Here is a 20,261-nt window from a genome sequence, read left to right on the forward strand (position 1 = left end):
TGTTACATAATCAATTCAATAAAGTAGCCTCTGGGTTTGTTGGGAGAATTTTCTTTTAAAATATGCTTCTTACTCTTATAAGCTAGAAGTCTATTAAAGATGAAATAAATAGTATAAGCTATAAATCTCCAATTATTCTCCAATGCACAATATGATGTTCTTATTTAGGTTCTCTTTATAATTGATGCTGGAATATTTAAAATACTGTAATATCAAAATTGCATTTTATGAATAATCATTTAATGAGAACCTATTGTCACTTCAATCCTGTGTGGTTACTGGTGTATGAAAAGAAAATGGCAAAAGGCCCTCTGTGTGAGCAGGAGGCAAGATGCACTCTTGATACCTCTGTGAAGTCTGTCAGGAACCATGAAGATCTGGGAGAGAGGTGGGAGAAGGCAAGGTTGAGAGACCTGAAATCTCTTAAGAACATAAGCCATGTCTGATGCATTGTGATTTTCTTTCCCAGAAGACTTTGAGCTCTCTAAGAGTAAGAAATCATGTGTGTATATATATATATGTTCACAATTCTAGCACTTCATTATTCATAGTAAGACTTCAAAAAGATCCTTTGGTTAACTGGTTTTGAACTGAAATAATTTGACAAAAATTACTTTGTGTGATATGAAGGAAATATAGAACCATCCAAAACTGCTAAGCAAGGAATCAATATCAGATTTGCATGTTTAAAAGTTTAGAAGGCCTTGCAGTAGTTCAGTTTAGAAGTTTAGTAGGTCTTGCAGTTGTTCAGCCTAAAGAAGAGGCATCATAAATAAAGCAGTATCAACAGGAGAAGGGAACAGGAGGAAAGGAAGAGTCAAGGATGACTCTTGCATAATTTTGGCTTAACTATTACTTCCGGAGACAGTACAGTGACATGAGTGCGTTCAGTTATGGAAGATGACATGGTCAGTTCACCCAAGTCACATAATACATAAGAAGTCAAAACTGCATCTGGAATTTAGGACTGAAGGCTTACATAGAAATATAGATGTGGGAACCACTTACATTAAAGTTGAAGTGGTTGAAGACAGTTACACAGATGAACTCAATCACAGAGACTGTTTAGAATGAGAGAAAAGTACCACAAGGGAACAGAAAAAGAATATAGAGGTTAAAGAGTTTGACGGAGAGAGCAGAGACATATGAATCTGAGAAGCATTTGGGTAGGAGTAAAGGAATAATGTCTCCCAAAGGGAGAACGAGCTTCAAGAAGCAGTAGTGGCCACTATAGTCATTAGGATTCCTGGATCAGACAAGAGGAATGGACATCAGCTCATATGACAGAAAAGAAACTTACTGAAATAATCCTAGGTACATCACAGAATCAACAGAAAGCTGATGAACCAAGCACAGAACACTGAGAGGAGCCAGGGAGACATCGTAATAAGAAAGCACAGTGAAGAGTCTGTCACAGGGTCCCTCTATCTAGGATGCAACCATTGGCCACACCACTACAGATGCTCGGCATCACCTCTTGTAGGTCCTCGAAACCCAGGCCTGGTACAGCCTTGAATATCATCTCACCTGACCCTCAGCCTTTGTTTCCCCTGTTCAAGTGATATGGTTTGGATGTTTTGTCCCCTCTAAATCTCATGTTGAAATGTGATTTCCAATGTTGGAGGTGGACCTAGTGCAAGGTGTTTGGGTCATGGGAGTGTGGATTCCCCATGAATGCCTTGGTGTCCTCGTGGTAATAAGTGAGTTCTCATTCTATGAGTTCACGTGACATCTAGTTGTTTAAAAGAGTGTAACCCCCTCCCGCTATCTTCCCCTCTTGCTCCCTCTCTCTTAATTCCTCTTTCACTATGAGGTACACTAGCTCCCTGCTTTTGCCTTCTGCCTTGATTAGGAGCTTCCTGGTACCTGCGGATGTTGGTACCATGCTTTTCATACAGCCTGCAGAGCTGTGAGCCTAAATGAACCTCTTTCCTTTATAAATTACCCAGACTCAGGCATTCCTTTATAGCAATGCAAATGAACTAATACATCAAGTATCAAATCTAACAGAAATCAAACAGTTTAACACAGTGATGCAAATTAATGGTGACCATGTACAAAAAGAAAAGACTTTTTAAATTTTTCTAATGTTGGCTGTAGTTTTTAGTTTTATTTATTTATATATTTTAACTTTTCTTTTAGATTCAAGAGGTACATGTGCAGGTTTGTTACCTGGGTATATTGCATGATGCTGAGGTTTGAGGTACAAATATTCCCATCTCCCAGATACTGAGTATAGCACCCAATGGTTAGTTTTTCAACCCTTGCCCCTCTTCCTTCCTACCCCTCTACTAGTTCTCGGTTTCTGTTGTTGCCATCTTTATGTCCATGACTACCCAAAGTTTAGCTCCCACTTATATGTGGGAACATGTGGTATTTGGTGTATTTGGTTTTCTGTTCCTGCATTCATTCACTTAGGATAATGGCTTCCAGCTGCATCCTTGTTGCTCCAAAGAACACGATTCCACTCTTTTTTATGGCTGTATAGTATTCCATGGTGTATATGTACCATATTTGCTTTATCTAATCCACTTTTGATGGGCACCTAGGTTAATTCCATATATTTGCTATTATGAATAGTGCTGCAGTGAACATGTGAGTACATATGTCTTTTTGGTAGAATTTTTTTTTTCCTTTGGATATATACCCAGTAATGTGATTTTGGGGACAAATGGTAGTTGTGGAGCTCTCGCTTTTGCTCAGCTTCCCACTATGCAGCTTCATGGATATGTTTTCTACATTAAGAATAATAATAGCAGCAATTTCTTACAGAATCATGATTATATTCTAGGCCCTATTCTAAACACTTTAGAGATATTAATTTATTTAATTATCACATACACTCTATGTGATAAGAATATATGTGATACCACATATACTCTATGTGGGTAAGAATTATTATTTTCCATTTGAATAGAGGTTATGCTGAGAGAAGATATGTGATACCACATATACTCTATGTGGGTAAGAATTATTTTCCATTTGAATAGAGGTTATGCTGAGAGATGGAGGAGCTAATCTTGCCAAATTGTCACACTGCTAAAAAGTAGCAAAGCAAAGATTCACACCCTGGTGGCCAGGTTTCAGAGTTCTTCTAAATCAGGGTCATGTTGACTAGCTCATCTAGGTAACAATAGGTATGTTGATCTGATGAAGCAAGGTGAAGAGAGGCCGAGGGTGGGGGCAGATACTAAAGGGGCCTCCAGAACACATGCTAAATTCCTAGACTAGGAAAACAGTACAAAGTATGTTCTGAGATACAGGAAAGAAGCCGAGGATGAATGGAGATGCCAAAGTAGGTGTAGGTAAGCAATAAAAGGAGAGTGGCTTTGAGATAGTCCAGTTCTTGATTTCAATTTTTGCTCAGAATAAGCAAGAACAGCAAATCAAAGAAGGAAGATAAGACCAGAGGCCAGCAGCAAACGATGTCTTTGCAATAAACATAGTTTGGAAAACAGCAGAGTTACTTTAGCTAATCTTCTCTTTTAAGGTAATTATGTCCAATTTCAGTCCAACTGAAGGGAAGAGATAATAAATTCTGTTTTGAAGTTTACTAGTCAGGTTCAATACAAACCCAAGGGTCAAAAGGTAAGAGAGTAGATGATGTTACGGACTGTAGCACTAGATCTGACAAATACCATCATCATTATTATAATCACTATTGTAATTGTAATAGCAATCATTTATTGACTTGTTTCTATGCATCAGATCCACTGTTAAATGTTTTACATACATTATCTCAAATCATGCTCATAACAACCCCATAAAGTTGGTGCTGTTATTATCCCATTTTATAGACAAGAAAACAGACCTAGAGAGTTAAACTTCCCCAAGGTCAGAGAGTCAGGAAGGGGTAAGATAGGATTTGAACCTGCTTGATGCCAGCCAGGATAGGATAGGATAAACTGAATGGGATAAAACGTAGGAATAAAAGATTAAGAGTTAGAAAGCAATTAAAGTAAAAGAGCGAGATGACTGAATTACACAAGATTAGCCATGGTCAGAGAACAGAACATTTGAGTTTACTATATATTACGCTTCAAATAGTTTTCGGTAACAAGTGTCAAGGTTCATCATGTGAGCAGTAAGTCCATTTGGAGCCCATATACGTGCAACACAGAGCACAATTTTGAATATGGATATATGATTCTTCTTTTTATCTTCTGGCCAGAGAGATCTGGGAGACATTTCCCAAGACTCCTCAGAAGTTCACATGGAGTTAAGCATCAGTCACTGTAGTGGTGACCAACTCAGCAACACAGCTGTGTGTTGTCTTTTCCTTCTCACATGTTTCTCTCCTCTGCCCTTTCCTCCTGCTTTCTGGGACCGCTTCCCAAATAAACCTACATGCAAGGCTCTACCTTGTCTCAAGCTCTGCTTGCGGGAGAACCTAGACTAAGAAAATGGGAAATACCCTGGAAAACAGACTTTTATGATGAAATGCTTCTTTCTGGAAATAAGCAGCTGAAAGAGAGAGAGAGAGAGAGACCAAGGAATTGGCTCCTTCATTTGTGCGAACTGGTGAGGCTGAAAATTCAATAAGAGTTGATGTTATAGCCTTGTAGTTGTTGTTGTACTGTTGAATCTGAATTCCCCAGGGCAGCATGCCAGAAACTCAGGCAGAATTTATATGAGAATTCCTTCTATTTACTAAGGGAAGTGCAGTCTTTGTCCTTAAGGCCTTGAACTCATCGGATGAGGCCCACTCACATTATGGTGAGTAATTTCTTTACTCAAAGTTTACTGACTAATACCATCTAAAAAATACCTTTAGAGTAACATCTAGACTGGTGTTTGACCTGTCACCACAGCTGACACCATAGCCTAGCCAAGTTAACACATCAGATTAACCAACACAGGTCTCAAGCCAGACTTATGGAGAAATGCAATCCCTGTACTGGAAAGAACTAGCTTAAACACAAAGAGATTACAAGTGTTAGTCCATTTGTACTGGCAGGAATTATTGGATCACATGTGGGCATTGGCGTTGGACTAGCGAGCTTAGAATATAAAACTGGGTAAGGGAGAATTTCTTTTTATGAGCTCACTCTAGTGTAACTCAAAATTGAATGTCTCAGCAAGAACACTTGGAGCCAGTCCTAATACACTGATGAGAGTGTTTCTCAAAATTTAGACATGGAAATTGTCTACAGTAAGTGAATTGGAGATGTTGGGGGATCTGAGATGTTCCAAGAAGGTTTGGGAAGTGGGAATATTTAAATGATTTATTATGTGACATGGTAGAACCCATGATCTGATTATGTTCCTTGAGAGGGCCTAGAGAGCACTATTTAAACTAAGGAAATGAAGAGTGCCCTGGTGCAGGGACACTGCATCTTTGAGGAGACTGAGTGGTTGTCATCTATAGGCTGGAGTGGACAGTGCCACTCTCTCTACTGACAATGGGGATAATGAGATTCTAGAATGGCAAAGGCCATACATGTTTGGCATAGTCGTTATAATGAGTATCAAGGCTACAGTAGTCATTAAGGTGTCTGGACCTATCTGTATCTGTGGTGATGGTTAACAAATTATGGTGTTCTGAGGGTTGAGATGGATGATCACCCATCAGAGTATGACTTTATCAAGAAGTGGTGAGCAGAGGGCGTATAGTCACCACAGTTCTTCATCCAGTTCCCAGATGTCAGGGAGCTTACAGACCCAGAGGCCATCAATTGAAGGGTAAATTGGGTCTCCTTGAGGAAAGACCCTGTAATGTAACTCAGACCTTCCATCATGATTTGGCCTCATAAAATCCACCAGGACAAAGGGCCAAGTGGAATAAGAAAAATGTATTAGATGATAGAAACTATACATATGGGATTAAGCCCAAGAAGTTCCACAAGGTTATCTGGTCAGATAACCCAGACACCCATGACACTTATTTCTTCTGTATTCACGTCTCTTCTTTAACTAACATATATAACCTCATAGGGATTAATTCTGATCAACTGATCAACAAGTAGGGGGAAAAACACCTTCCCACGGCTCATTAATGAGTTGGTTCACCATGTTGAGGTAGCTGTAAGTGGACTGCTGCCATATTATTGCCCCACTTAAGGGCAGCCCTTGATATAGTGGAAAAGGGAAATTCTCCCAATGGGTAAAGCCAAGAGCAGTAAACTGGTTTGCCACTTTGTATGGTGAAAGAAGTGGGCCGAATCACAGATATTTATGAACTCCTGGATAGTGATGAATGGCTAGGCTGGTTGGTCAGGGTCCTGAAAGAAACGAGATTAGAAGATTTGGGAAATCAGAGATGAAGAGGGGTGGTGGTGGTAATAGCAGTGGTGAAAACAATGACATTTAAACCCATCTGCTAATACTAGTTCCATCACATCAGCTAAACAGTGATAAACAGTCAGCCTTTCACCTTTCTTCCCCCTTTCCCTATTGTCTATAAGCTTTCTCCATCTGGAAAGCAGTATTGCTTATACAACCTTAAAGAGTCAAAGAGGACATTTAATTCTGTAGGGTTGTGTTGTAGTCAGTAAAGGGCCAATAAATGAGTTTTCTGATCTAAGAAGCACACTTTGAATCCCTCCATCCTCTGCTGCAGAACACAGTAGTTTACTTGGTAGTTTCTAAGTCTGTTAATATTTGCATGAATAGTTGGTGGGCTTAAAATATTTAATTATCCAATTCAGGCACAAGCTGTGACATTCAATTTATTACTTTGTATTTATCAGAAAATGTTTGCAATTTTCTTCCTATAGATTCTGCAAGTATTTTATTTGGGTTATTCCTAATTTTATTGTATATTATTGTTGTTGTTGCCAATAAGATCTCTTTCAGCAAGTTTACTACATTTATTTATTTGGATTGTGCCCTGAATAAGGAAGGTACATGGGGAGTGGTGAGTAAGAGATGAAATCCGGCTATGGTCCTCTCACACCGAGCTGTGTGTCCTAACATGAAGCTGTGTCTACAGATGAAAGTGCTTCTCTTTCTATTTCCCACAGAGGCACTTCCTGGATACAGTGTTCTCTGTGTGTGTGTGGGCAGGGGTCTTGGTGGTGTTTTAATCTGGTAATGTTTGTATTTTAAAATATGTTGATTTATATGTATTTCTCTTCCTTTTCATCTATTTTAACAATATTTTAAATTATTCTTCCTCCACTAAAACCTAGCACACTTGCTTGGGGCAAAGGTCCACTTGGAGACCGAAATATTAGCTAGCGCTGCTTAGTTTCTAAGTATCAACATTTTGATCCATCCAGACCTTGTACTTATGCTTAACAATATCTTAAGGGTTATATGCAAAACCTTATAAAGAAGGCAAAATGATTTATTAGGAATGACTAAACTTGCATCCTGTAATTGGAACTGTAGTCATGAAGGGTGGTGGTGGTGGTAATAGCAGTGGTAAATACAAACAAAAATATTTTATATAAATATTTCTATGAAATAAATTATAAAGCTTTTTCACAAAGGTTTCTGGGAAACACTGATAAACAGCCCTCTAATTGTCTATTAATTGTCTAATTGTCTATGAATTTCATGCCCTGTAGTGTGTTGATTAAAAAGTTGTGTGCAGACAACAATTTTTCTCTACTCCTTTTCCAATCCTTTTATATTGTCTATCTCTTTTTCTGTCTTAGCTCTTACTTCACTTGTCAGAATAATGTTAAGTAACAGTGAGATTAAGCGTTTTTCTTTCCTTTCTGATTTTCCCCGGAACATTCATGTTTCACCTGTAAGTACTTTCTGCTCTACTCTGGCATGCTGTACCTGGAACTGGTCTTCACACACATCATTGCCCCAGTAAGCAGCAAAATCCCAGAAATGAGCAAAGGTTCTGTCTCTGGCATTGCCAGGGACTGATGTCTCTGCCATTTACCATCATCACTGGCTCTATGTGCCCAGCTCAGGACTCCTATTGTACCTCTATCATTTAGGTTACAACTCTCAAGCCATCCCCTGAACTCTTGACTTTACTGCTGTCATGCATCACACAAGCTGTCATCCTCCTCCCGTCTCTGAGGTCAACCAAGGCCTGAGAGTGGTTAAGAGTGCTACACTGTGCTCTAGATCTGGTGGTCTTTCTTCGCATCCTGGTTCTGCCATCATGGTTCTACTTAACTGTGTAAATTTAGGCAAGTAAATCAAGAAGACTGGGCCTCGGTTTTCTTGTCTATATAAGGACATAATAATAGTCCCTACCTAATAGATTCTTGTGAGGCTTAAATAATAATAGGTAAATAATTATGCAAAAGACCGTACACAGTTAGTGTGTGACATGTAGCATATTCCCAATATATATTATTTACCAAACTGGAATAAGAGAAAGTGGTCCCATCCATTCCAAAATTATTACAACCTGTAGCTGGCTTTCCATGAGGTTGATAGTTTTGCCAGAACCTGCCTGTCACAGGGTTTCCTGAAACTCACCACCTGGAATTCCTGGGCCTTTCTTTCCCTGTGTGTCGGTGTGCAGTCTTTTACAGTCCTAACAATTTACTGATCAAAATACCACCTTACAGAAATATATAGGCCTATCAGGCCTCACTGGACTTTTAAAGAGGTGAGAGTGGATGGTAGGAACTAGAAAGCAAAAACAGCAAAACAAAGCCTTATAATATTAAAAATACTTCTTAAAACCTCAGAATTTGCCCAACCACATGCCAGGGATTTCCTAGTGACTTTTGTTGTTCTCAGGCTCTGGCCCATGCACTAAATTTTGAATTTTTTTCTCTTTTTTTGTTCTTTTCTATTTAGGCTCTGCCCTTTTGTCTATTCTCCTCTAAATTCCGTGGGTATTTCTAATATAGAGTGGTTAGTGGTTTGCTTTCTTATCTCCCTACAGGCCTTGCTTCTTAAGTCTTTACCTGATGTCACAGGCTTAGCAAGGTATTTTCCTAGAAAATGGCATTTCCCTACTAATGCAAATCTCTGGTGCTGAATGCAAAGAAAACCTCACTACGGCTGTCAATCAACTGTAGGGTCCCTGATCAGAAAATCATACAAGGATGAGGTTGTCTGTCAGGCTGGGAAAACTTTGTCAGTGTTAAGATAATGTACTCTCTTCCTAGATGTAAAAAATAACAATAATTTTATTAGGAGTAGCTGCTAAATTGTGTTAAATGAATATCTTCTGAAATCATATTTTTATATGATTTTATAATATAAATCATAAATTTTATGTTTTAGACATTTTACACATGTCTAAAAGAGATTCAGCTTTTTTTTTTTTTTTTACAAAAATCCAACTTCTTCTTTTCACAGTTCTCTCATGCCTTCTTTCAGTTGATTACTATGCCTATGTGTCTTTTTATTTATGTTTGGGTAGAAAAGCCAATGGTTCCTGAAGCTTAGTGAAAATAATATTCTTTATTGCCCTAAATCCATGACAAAAAAACGTACTCAAGTGTCACACCAAGTTTTTAGGTAGGTACACATAACTGGTCCATTGGCTTAAACACAACAAATAATAAGTAACATTTATACAACTTTAACGTGTTCTTCGTACTGTTCTAAGTGTTTCACGTATGTTAATTATTTGCTTCTCACAACAATCCTATGACATAGATGCTATTATTATTCTTTTTTAAAGATAACAAACCTAAGGCATAAAGTGACTGTCTAAAGGTGTGTAGCTAATACGTGATAGAGGCAGAATTTGAATCCGGGTAGTCTGTCTTTAATCACTGAACTAAACTTCCTCTCTATCAAAAAGAGGAGCAGTTGATGGAGAACATATTTCTAGAGCACTCTTAAAGTTAAAATACCCCTGGCAGAGGGACTTACTGTAAAGTGATATAGTTATCCTCTAGAAGGATGAGAATAAATAGGGTCTAACCTGAAGGGCATATTGGGTGGAGAGTGAGTCCGGGGGAGGAGCTGATAAGAAAAGAAGTGAAATGGCAAGAAAATAAAGAGTTTAATGTTTTGGTTCTACCCATATATTTCTACCACCCTTGACAGGTTACAATAAACATTCTATTTCTGCCTTTACTACATTTGTCTTACATTTTCCTTTTTCTACTCCCTGATAATTTGGACAAGCGTTTCTCAGAACAGCAAGTGGTTACAAGCATTGGGAAACATGAGGTGCTTGATAAACCTGAAATTCCTGATCTCATTCCAGACCAGAAGAATCTGTCCTGGGATATGGGGGAAGGGGAGAGATGAAGGAAACTGCATGTTTAGCAAACACCACAGGTAACATTTATGCTCACTAAAGTTTGCAAACTTTTCTGCCAAGCGAATCTTTACAACTTTTCTGCAAGTGAATCTTCTGATAGTGGTTTATAGTCATGAAATAATTGCAAAGTGCTTCTCTTTACCTAGATTCTAAAGGCCTGGGTACCAAAACACAAACATAAATAATGAGCTTGTTTACCTTAGAGCTCCATTTTTCCTTTGATGTGACAAACAAGTAGGTTGGAAAACAAAAATCAGTCTCTTTTCCTGCTAAGGAAAACCAAAGTTATACCTCAAACAGATTGGTATAACGAACTCAACGCTAATAAATCTATATGCAGAGAACTTTACAAAATAAAAAATCCATTAAGCCACTCTCGTAATATATTTTGCTTGTATTTCTAGGTGCGCTAAAGTATCTTTCTTTATTTATATAAGAAATATTCTTGTAAGCATGTCACTATTCACCCTTATAATCAAGTATTTTGTTTTTGAAGTAGGCATTATGGGTTAAAATACATTTTAATGCCACATGATGAAAATGTTCATTGCATAATATCAGTTGTTAGGTTAAGTGATATGTTAGAACGTTACTGCTTATCACAGCAACAGGAACCTTCAGATCATTCAAAATATAATGGAGCCAGAAAAAATGATGCCCTAATTCTGTAAGTTGATGGGAATTAAGGAAGAGAGACAAATTGAATAGTAAAAGTATTTTTTCACAATGAATTTTATAATTTTATACCTTTTTATTGTATAAAATGTTATTTATTTTGTAAAGTAAATTTCAACTTCCCTGTTCTTTAGTTTAACATAAAAAGATAACTAGAATTCCTTTTAAGCTTTGCAAGTTTTAAGGTGATAAAGTAAAACTAGACAAGATTCTATTCATTTGGCATTATCAAATCTGGAATCATTTTGGATAAATTTGCTGACAAATTTAGAGTCTTCTTCTGTTTGGTAGTTGGCTCTCAGAAGGCATATAATTGAACAAGCTTCTACCTGTATTATTACTGCTTATCCCAATTCAGAATATGATTCAGTCTATCTGTGCATGTAGAACAAGTTTTAGTGCCTTGTTAAGTAATCATCACACAGAGTGGTTCTCACTATGGACTGACAAAACATTTGCTGATCCACAATAATGAAAGTCATTAGAAGATACCAGGAAGTGGATGTTTCAAGCCCATATCCTCCTATGGTGTTGAGAGCATTGTTTAGGACCCCAAGGACACAATCCCACAGTCTGTTCTGTACAATAATAATTTATGCCATCAAATCATCTTTCATCAGAGATCTCAAAGGGATTCTGCAAACACTAATTTCACCTTTTCCTGAGGTATGTAGAAATAGTAATTCCAGAGGACCAGGCAAAGAGCTAGAGAATAGTCTTGACTTGTTCAACTCCTGAGTGAATGGGAGGCTGAAAGTGAACCAGCCTTAGGAATGGCAGGCATGACACTGTCCAGGACTGAACTTCATCTCCACTATTGTCCTGAGAGAGTTACAGAAAGCCTCTTTTGTTTGGAATTTTCTCAGGAACCCAAGTGAATTTGGGTGGAAATGTGTCCCTTATGAAAAGGAGAACATTTCTTGAGTGGAAGTTGTTATAAGATGATACTTTCTCACACTATACATAGAGACAGGGGCCATGAGAGTTACAAACAAAAGATGAAGTGACTTGATCATGTCCTTAAGTTACGGTGCTCCTAGCTAGAACTACTCAGGGGCCTTTAGTTATGATGACAACAGGTCCAAGTATTCCCAGTCTCAGGTTACACCTTTTGTTGGAACAAAATTACATTGGTCTCTGTCACTCTCAAAAGTGTTCTGGACTGGGTGAGAATATATAAGATCACCTTAACTGAAGTGCATAGTTCTACACTTAGAGACTTCTTTAAAAGGAAGAAAATAACCACAGTGAGTGAAGAGGAAATGCTCCACTTATCCTCAGGTTTCTCATAACGAATACAGACAATGACATTCACCTCGCAGTGTTGTTATGAGGATTAGATGCAGTGATGCGTGGAGTGTCTCCAACTCCCACTCCTCAAAAAGTGCCTGGAATGTGGCAAACTCTCAAGAAGTTCAAATCTCCATTCATTTTCCCTCTCCCTTTATCACAGTGAAAGAAAATTCTAACATGAGTTGCACCAAAGAAATGTAAGAGAGTTAAAGATTCTTCTTAAACCTAGCATCATCAGTGACACAGCGATTTTCAAGAAATTCCAGGAAGCCTCAAGGACACTAGAATTCCTTTTTTGGAAGGATATAAGATCAGAAGATGGAAGCTTGGCTCCTCCTGACAAGATGTCAGGTTGCATGACCATCCTATGGTTTGCAGGTGGTGGAAGCTCAGCTACCAGATGGGGCTAAAACTTTTGGTTCAGATTAATCTCAATTAAACACAAAAAGAACCTTCTGATTAAACTACCTAAGAGAGCATGAGGGGCCTCACCAGGTACTAAGTTTCTTGCCATTGGTCAGGTCAAATATGAGTGAGTTAATCCCTGGTTATAGGAAGTTTCCATTTTGGATGGATGGTTAGTCTAGTACCAGGCCTTTTTTCTGCCTAGATATGTCCCTCATTCTGGTATTGTAGAGTTCTGGTATTTTTCAGGAAAACAGACCTAGCTTATTTTTTTCCTTTTCTGGACTTCTAATGAAAACAAATAAAAAGTATACTTTAGTTTTTGTGTTTTCTGATGGTGTTATGTATGTTTATTCAAAAGGACCATGCCCTATACTCATTTTGACTATTCCACAATTCTTATTCAAATGCTGAGCATACAGTGGGTGCCTAATAAGTACTTAGAAACTAGAAATGCAGACATGTTCCTATAGATTTTCCCATGCCTATCATTAATACAAACTTGGCACTATAGTCAGCATCACCTGTGGCCATACAATGTATATTATTCATGTCGTCACATGATGCCAAAAACATGACATTCAGCAAACACTAAAATACATAGGTTCTCAGATTGTGACTCAAACTTTTGACTACAGAGACTAAAATTACAAAAGTCTACGTCAACTTGACTGGTATTAATAAAAACATAATATACTTAAAAATTACAGTAAATAGTGCAAATGAAGCCTGATCAACCACTAAAACATACAGATACATTAAAAACAACCATAATTGTTGTTCAGAACATAAGACATCCTGCGGTATTCTTGGTGTCTGAATGTTTGAAAATGTTTAACATGGTTAGATCAAATATAAACCAAAATTAAGACTATAGATAACATGGAATGAAAGTGACAGAATCTGGCAAGAAGATTGTTCATTTTAAATCAGCTGGAAGTACTTGTTAAAATACTGTAATTAACCATTATGATAAAAATCTTTTTAACTTGAAGAAAAACTTATCTAACATACTATTAGAACTTAGAAATATATGAATAGATTATTTAGGAAGCTTTTTCCAGAATTATTGGTATTTTGAACTTAAAATACAGTATTTAGTCTATAAGAAATTGAAGTATGCAAGTATCTATATTTGTACAAAACCACAAATGCAAAATATAGTAATAACTATTGAGATTTACTCTCTTCCCTGTTGCCCTTCTCTTGGCTTAATCCTACATTTTCTAAAAGGTATTTGTTGTTGTTGTCTTCACTTCTTATTTATCCAGAGAACAGCCCGATAAAATTGCTTCTGCCACCCTCCTCTTCTAACAAGTCCACTATGTAAGAAAGGCAAATAATGTGGATTTTCCATAAACAGTATGTGAAACCACAGCATCTTGAATCTTTGTTGATTTAAAACTTTTGGTTCCAAGTTACAGAAACTCAGTCTAAACTAACTGCAACCAAAAAGAAAAACTTACTGATTTACAGAAACAAAGAATTGCAGAGAGGGGACAGGAGGCTCAATGGACGCTGTGGTAAGGGACACCAACACTGCCAGGGACTTATCTGGCCCTCTTTCTGCCCCTCTATTCACCTCCACTATCTTCTACAGCAGATTAAGTTGTGCCTTCATCAGCAGAGAAGTGAAGCTTTTTTCTTTTTAACGGCCATCTTAATTAATCTCAAGAAAACTTTGTGCAGCCATTCTTGAGTCATGTGTTTACCCCTGTGGCTCGATGAGATTATTATGATTAAGATCTCCCTCTAAAAATATGAGGTTAAAAGGAAAGGAGGATGGATTCTTAGAGGAAGGTCTGTGCTGCCTCCAGGAGAACAGAAGAGCATTAAGGAGAGAACACTCTAGTTGTCCACTATGACTAATAAATGTCCTTGGGGACCAAGCTTTTGGGCTCTGGCCTAATAGGGATATAAAAAAGTAACATGATCAGAAATATCTTTTCTTGGTCTTTTAATTATGTTGCACAATGAAGTGGTGAGCAGGGACACAACTAGGAGGAGAAAGGAAAGAGTCTTGGGATACTGGTGTTCATAAAATCCTACGTGAAATGTACCCCCTATACATCAAACTTAGCCTGTGATTTTGTGTTATACCCATGAGGCAACAGTTGCCATTTGATCAATAACATGGCCCAGGAAAAGACGCTGTGGTCTCTGTCTTATTATGTTATTCATGGACACCAAGCAACTACAGAGATCTTCATCCTATTACTTTTAAAAAATGTAGCTTCCATTAATTCTTATTGGGCATGTATTCAGGCTTTAATCAAAACACGAAGTTCTTATTTTCAAATATTTCAACAGTTATTTTGGTCAAAGAGTCAGCTGTAAATTCCTACATGAAAAGTAAATGAGTGGCTGGGCGTGGTGGCTCACACCTAAACTTTCAGCATTTGGGAGGCTAAAGTGGGTGGATTGCTTGAGCTCAGGAGTTCAGGACCGGCCTGAGCAACATGGCGAAACCTCATCTCTACAAAAAAATAACAAAAATTAGCCACGTATGGTGGCACACTCCTGTGGTCCCAGCTACTCGGGAGGCTGAGGTGGGAAGATCACTTGAGCTGGAGAGGTGGAGGTTGCAGTGAGCCAAGATAGCGCCACTGCACTCCAGTCTGGGTGACAGAGTGAAACCCTGTCTCAAAAAGGAAGAAAAGGCTGGGCGCGGTGGCTCACGCCTGTAATCCCAGCACTTTAGGAGGCCGAGGTGGGCGGATCACGAGGTCAGGAGATCGAGACCACGGTGAAACCCCGTCTCTACTAAAAATACAAAAAATTAGCCAGGCGGGGTGGCGGGCACCTGTAGTCCCAGCTACTCGGGAGGCTGAGGCAGGAGAATGGCGTGAACCCAGGAGGCGGAGCTTGCAGTGAGCTGAGATTGCGCCACTGCACTCCAGCCTGGGCGACAGAGCGAGACTCCGTCTCAAAAAAAAAAAAAAAAAAAAAAGCAAATGAGCAGGCCTTTTCATATCAGAAATTCAGAGGCTCTCTTATATATGCCATAAATAAAATAGTGACAACAGAGAGCCTGTAGAGACACAGCTTGAATGGAAAATTATTGAAGTTTCTCCAAGCTAAAATTTATATTTGCATGCTTTGTGTAGCTACATACTTTAGCTAGACACTTTAGCCTACTTTCTATCCAGCCATCGTGGAAAGTAAACATGTGCCTGTTTAACACCCAGTGTTTCTCAAACATTGATCCATACTTACTATGTCAGAAATACCTGAAGAGTTATTTTGTTTTGTTTTGTTTTGTTTTGTTTTTGTTTTTTTTTTTTGAGATGGAGTTTTGCTCTCGTTGCCCAGGCTGGAGTGCAATGGTGCAATCTCAGCTCACTGCAACCCCCGCCTCCCGGGTTCAAGCAATTCTCCTGCCTTAGCCTCCCGAGTAGCTGGGATTACAAACGCCCACCACCACACCCAGCTGATTTTTGTATTTTTAGTAGAGACGGTGTTTCACCATGTTGGCCAGGCTGCCCTCGAACTCCTGATCTGAGATGATCCACCCAACTCGGCCCTCAAAATGTTGGGATTAGAGGCGTAAGCCACAGCGCCCAGCTGAGTTTTTTAAGTATATTAATTATTGGGTCCAACCTTAACAGATTCTGAGTCAGGTAAGTCTGTGTTGGATCCTTTAACTGTTGTATTTTGTTAATTTTTTTTTTTAATTTCCTAGGTGATTGAGATACACAGCCATGTTAGGAAACCGTGACTTTAAACCCAAATGTTTAATCTTTTTTGCAGATTTCATTAGCAATAATTCACAAAGCATATTCATCTTCTACAGCTCATGAAATAACTCTGTTCTTGAAAATCAGAGTACATGTAGAGGAGAAGGGGTTTTTGTTCTGACAATATAATACTGTCCAATGCTACGTGATTGGTAGATAAGGCCTCCAAATCCCTCATAAATTGTGGGATTTAGATGAGATAATTTTAAAGTTCACTGAAGCCATAAAGTTATTTAACCTATGTAATCTACAGAATTAGATGTGAAATAGAAATGTTGATTATGATTTTCATCAAAAGCATATGGGCTATATAAATTGCTAGGAAAACGTGAAACAAATTAAAAAGCCATAAATAAAAGAGCTTAATCCTTGAATTAAAACAAACAAACAAAAAAGCAACCACATTCATAGCTGAATCTACCTGAAAGGCCAGGATTAGTCATATAATGATTTAACCCCTGCTTTGGTCAGCATTTTTCTATAATTTCCTTGCCAACCCAGAATGAGAATGGTGACAGGTCTGGAAAGTAGTTTTCAGTGTGCTGAGCTTGAACAAAGAACAGTTTCCAGGGTGGGTGGGGTGAACCTTATTTTTCAGTGAGATGTCACTCCTGTCTGATTAGGACGCTGTGAATCACTGTATATTTGGCACACTGCCAACTGAAACGTACCTTTGCTTTTCTCCCTTTGGTCTCTCCCTCACTTATTATCATGGGAAAAGATAAAATTCACAAGCTCTAGATCAAGAGTTTACTTCTCAAAAGAAATATCTCATTTTAGAAGCACATTCTAACATCCCAGAATCACACGTCGATTAGATTGTCTTCAATCTAAACTATTATTTGTGATAAAAGCTCTAAATTACTGTATTCCTTTCTAATTTTATTATCCTTAAACTGTACCTTAACTATGTTCACTTTTTGTACAATTGGAAAATGGTTGTATATTAAGTATTCATCAGTCATTACTGAATTTCAGGGGGCAAAATTACAAATCATTTGTTAAACTTTCAAAATTATCTTTGTCTATAATCTCTCTTGTACCCTGAAAGACCACAGTAATACCATACTTTCTTTCCTCTCCTACTTAATGTTATTATACAGCTATTGAAACCACAATGGAGAATAAAAGAAGAGAAATAGCCATGTGTTTCATTTAAGATGAATAATTTCATCTAAGTAATTTCTACAAGACATTGCTTTGTTGTCTTTAAATTTCATTTACTTGAATGGGAATCAAAGGCATCTCCTTGTGAGTTATTCAGCACAAATCAGATTCCTTATTGGAAATTAAGCTTTGGACCTTGGCAATAGAACTACCTTCAATAAGACAGTAACATTGAAAATGTTTTTTCCCACCCACTGATTCTGCTTTACAGATCTAACATTTCCTCTCCCGATGTCGGAATAGCTCTGATATCACCCCCTCCTCCTTTCCTGTCTTGAGTCTTTGTTCTTCAAGTCCAGTGTCAATGATCATTTTATCAATGATCAGCTTCATTTCAAAGCTTGCAATGAGGTGACAATGCCAGGGCTTCCACGTCAGAGAAATAGGCCACCTTTGTCACCTGGCAAAAAACATTCTATTGGCACCTTCAAACCCATCTTTAGATATCAAGCTAGTAGTTTGGTGAAAATAAAAGTGCACCTTTACTAAATGTACCTCGAATGGCAAGGCCCTTCCAAAACCAAAACATTTAGACCAGGGGAGAGCTAAAATGTCTGACAGTTGTGTAAAGTGCAAGATTTAGGTGTGTGATGAATAATGATGTGAAAGGATGCATGTTGCATTTCTAGCCTGCAAACAATGACCATTTTTTGAAGAGTCAAGCAGCAAGCAGGGTGTCACCACAGCCTCCAGGTCTCTCCCAAGTGTCCTGCTGGTGATGGTTTCTGTGCGCCTGTCTGTAAAATTCTCCACCCTCGTACCCAAGCCCATAGCTCCTCCTTGTTGAGACTTGTCCCATTAGTCTTCTGAGGCTAGAACAAACCCAGGCGAAAGTCTTGATTGCTGGCTGAGATAATCAGGAATAAGTTGATTCTATTTAGCAACTTCTCAGCTGTGCGGTGGAGGTGGTTTCAACATTATAATCGAGGAAGTCCATAATGCCTTCCTAGAGATTGGTATCCAAATCAAAAACCTTCATGTTTACCTTGGTGCTACTAGCTTTGTCTTGAAAGTTTAAACCCTGCCAACTTAAGGAAATCTCTTATCATGTAAGTTTGACAGCTCTGTTTACTTTAGCCCTGACCTATAGTTTAATAGTGAAAAGTTTGGAGGAAACAAACCTCATAGGAGAATGCTTGACATTATTAAAATGCAAAGTACACAAAAGAGAAGCTACTGTGAAAGCTGTCTCCATTTGTGACTCACTCCTTGAAGAAATTTCTGGCCTTTATGCCATGTGTGCTCTGTGTGTTAGAAGTAAGCATCCTGTTAAAGGAGTACACAATAGATCCCTTCTTTTTTTTTAAGCTGAAGATGAAAATTTAAAAGAAAATGAAGTCTTTGTATCACTTCAACTTCAGTGAGTTTTGTTGTTGTTTTTTATTTTAAATTTGCAGAGTCGCTCTAGCTTATAAATATCATGGTAATTAATTTTACTTTACCTGAGCTGTCTTCATTCAGGTAGTTACTATAACATATTTTGAAAACTTAAATGAAGAAAGATTTGCAGCCCTGGGACAGGGGAAACAGAAAGCAATGGCTCAGCTTCTCCCGGGTGGAAAGGCAAAGTCAATGGAACCGGGAGTCAATACACATTCTCTTGTTTTTTTTTTTTTTCTTTTTGAAGACAATTGAGGAAATTTACTTATTTATTTTTAATTGATGAATAAAAATCGTATAGTGTACAACATGAGGTTTTGATATAGAAATACATAGTGGAATGACTAAATCAAGCTATTTAACTTCACATACTTATTTTTGTGATGACAGCAATTAAAATCTATTCTCTTAGCAATTTTCTTTTCTTTTTTTCTTTTTCTTTTTTCTTTTTTTTTTTTTTTTTTTTTTTGAGATGAATTCTCATTCTGTCACCCAGGCTGGAGTGCAGTGGTGCAATCTCAGCTCACCACAACCCCCGCCTCCCAGGTTTAAGCGATTCTCCTGCCTCAGCCTCCCAAGTAACTGAAATTACAGGCATCCGCCACCATGCTGGGCTAATTTTTGTATTTTTAGTAGAGATGGGGTTTCACCATGTTAACCAGGCTGGCCTTGAACTCCTGACCTCAGGCAATCCGCCCGCCTCAGCCTCTCAAAGTGCTGGGATTACAGGTGTGAGCCACTGCACTCGGCCGCAATTTTCAAGTATATACAATATATTGTTATTAACTGTAATCGCCATGATGCATAACAGGTCTCTTGAACTTGTTCCTTCTAACTGAAATTTTGTATCCTTGACTAAAATCTGTCCAATCTCTGCAGCTCCTGTAACCACCATTCTATTCTCTACTTCAATGAGTTCAACTTTTTTACACTCCACATATTAGTGAGATCAGTATTTGTCTTTCTATGCATGGCTTATTTCACTTAACTTAATGCCTGCCAGGTTCATCCACATTGTCATAAAAAACAAGACTTTTTTCTTTTTTAAGGCTGAATAGTATTTCATTGTGTATATATAGCACATTTTCTTTATTCATCCATCCACTCATGGATATTAGGCTAATTCCATATCTCGGCTATTGAACATGGGAGTACAGATGCTCTTCAACATATGGATTTCATTTCCTTTGGATATATACCCAATAGTAAGATTGCTTGATCAAATGGTAGTTCTATTTTTAATGGTTTGAAGAAACTTCATACTGTTTTCCATAATGGCTGTACTAATTTATCATTCCATCAACAGTCTGCAAGGTTTTTCTTTTCTCTACATCTTCACCAACACTTACCTTTTGTCTTTTTTATAATATCTATTCTAACATGTATGAGGTGATATCTCATTGTAGTTTTAATTTGCATTTCCCTAATGATTGGTGATGTTGAACATTTTCTTCACATAC

The sequence above is a fragment of the Homo sapiens genome, chromosome 18 (assembly GCF_000001405.40).
Source record: "Homo sapiens chromosome 18, GRCh38.p14 Primary Assembly".
NCBI classification, from domain to species: Eukaryota; Metazoa; Chordata; class Mammalia; order Primates; family Hominidae; genus Homo; species Homo sapiens.